Source organism: Homo sapiens, chromosome 21 (genome assembly GCF_000001405.40).
Source record: "Homo sapiens chromosome 21, GRCh38.p14 Primary Assembly".
Lineage (NCBI taxonomy): Eukaryota > Metazoa > Chordata > Mammalia > Primates > Hominidae > Homo > Homo sapiens.
Window position 1 is genome coordinate 34,191,004 of NC_000021.9, and position 2,096 is coordinate 34,193,099.

The 2,096-nt window shown below is 47.4% G+C and overlaps 1 annotated feature.

Moving 5' to 3' along the window:
• Positions 1,630-1,719: an enhancer, noted in NCBI's record as "active region_18394". NCBI's record gives its function as "activates an Ori minimal core promoter by ATAC-STARR-seq in GM12878 lymphoblastoid cells {active_cell/tissue: GM12878}" and the evidence as "EXISTENCE:reporter gene assay evidence [ECO:0000049][PMID:35858748]".

A 2,096-nucleotide genomic window follows, 5' to 3' on the forward strand; every position in this document is an offset into this window, starting at 1 on the left:
AGATCCCTGCATAATCCACCAGTCCTCCCCCGTACTCCCACCTCCCACCTCAATCATTTTTGTATTGAAATGTCTGCAGAAAATGGATGTGGAATGGCACTATTGTCTTGGGTAAGTAAGTTTTTCACTCAAGGCACAAAACCCCTGTCATACACCTACCTCTGGTTCTACAGGAGCCTGTGAACTCGTGCCAGAAGAGGAAAGGCTGAGCTGATACTGCAAAGATGTGGCAGCAGATGGGAACTTGTGCCTGCAAGTGGGGAGCCTTGGTTTTAATGAATGAAATCTAGCAAGTTCCCATCTGGAGATAGTGAATCCAGGAAGAGGATCTTGGATTGGACAAGTGGATGGGATTCAGTTTGGCCAAAGGGCCAGAAAAAACTCTCATTCTTTAAATGAAAACCTTCTCGTCTCTTCCAACCTCCTAGTCTTAGGACAAGATCATTTTTAAAAGGTCTAGTTTTGTGGCTTCACACTATGAACTAGCTGTTGTGAGTCCCAAAGAAGAAAAGAGCATTACTTTTTTCATTTAAAAAGTGAGCTTCAAACTCACTAGTTCTGCCTGAAGCCAGAAGCTTCCGATTTCCACCGGCATCTCTGTAACCGGCATCTCTCTAATGGGATAATGGGTAGTTTTCATACTTCGAAAAGCACTGCTTTTTGTCTCTGCCGGTTGAGTAAGCTTTTGCAAGCAGGGTTGAACAAGAAACACCGTTTTGGATGGCAATGGTTTTATTTACATTATACTCACCTAGGAGCTTGTTTTCATGGAGGGGCTCAAATGTGCTGGACAATGGACTCTGAATTAAGGAGGAGTGTGGAGATCATTGAAACATTTGCTCTAGGGGAAGAAATCAAGCAAAGAGACCTATTCATTCACATTGACCTTGGAGATAGATATCAAGTAATGGGGCAATTCAGGGCTAATTATTTCCTCTGGGGAGAGCAGGACTCCCATTGGGTGTCCCATTGGCTGTGGGTCTCTCCCTCCTGCAGTCTCAGGACCAGGAGTGTCAGATGCCATTCCCCAGTGGGCTGCTACCTTTGATGCGTGCTGACATTGTCTGGTCACATTCCACTCCATGAGTTGTCCTCAGCAGCCAGCCAGCCCTGGTGCCATTGGCCATGCCACAGTATAACATAGACCTGACTGTTTGAAACAGGTGGCTTTCTACTTGGGTCCCCTCTGGGATATTCTCAGCATGCAAAAGGGGTTTGTTTGCACATTCAGCATACTTAGGCAGGCTTTAGAAATATTGACTTAAGTGGAAATTGCCTCAAAAAATACAGATACCAGCTGGGCATGGTGTCTCATGCCTGTAATCCCAGCACTTTGGGAGGCCGAGGTGGGAGGATCACCTGAGGTCAGGAGTTCGAAACCAGCCTGGCCAACATGGTGAAACCCCACCTCCACAAAAATACCAAAATTAGCCAGGCATGATGGCAGGTGCCTGTAATCCCAGCTACTCAGGAGGCTGAGGTGGGAGAATCGCTTGAACCCAGGAGGTGGGGTTTGCAGTGAGCCAAGACTGTGCCATTGCACTCCAGCCTGGGTGACAGAGTGAGAGTCAGTCTCAAAAAAATACAGAGTGAGAGACAGTCTCAAAAAAATAAAAATAAGTAAATAAAATACAGATACCTCACCCCACCATCAGATCAAAGAAGCAGAGTCACCTGGGGATGTGACCCAGGCATTGGCACTTAAAAATCTTCCCAGGTAGGTGCATCTGGTTTGAAAACGACTGAACACAGGAAATGAAAGCTATTTCTTAGCTACGTTTGTGGGGATTTCTTGGTCTCTGTCTCTCACTGTGGGTGGTGCATGACATTTGTAGGTGTGGACTAAAGGCCACAGGAGAGTGTTCATGCCCCTGGGAGGGGTTTCATGGTTGGTGGCCCTGTTGTTAGGGAAACGGGCAGTGCATGGGCTAAGCCCACCTGGCAGGTGGACACAAACACACACTCTCAAACCCTCTTCCCGGTTGAAAAACTCTCACATGAGTCCTGTGGTTGGGCACGCAGGGTATCCAGGAGCCACAGAAGCTGCTGTCCCCATGACCTCAACTTCGAGTCTGCGCTCTAATTCTTTCTCACCT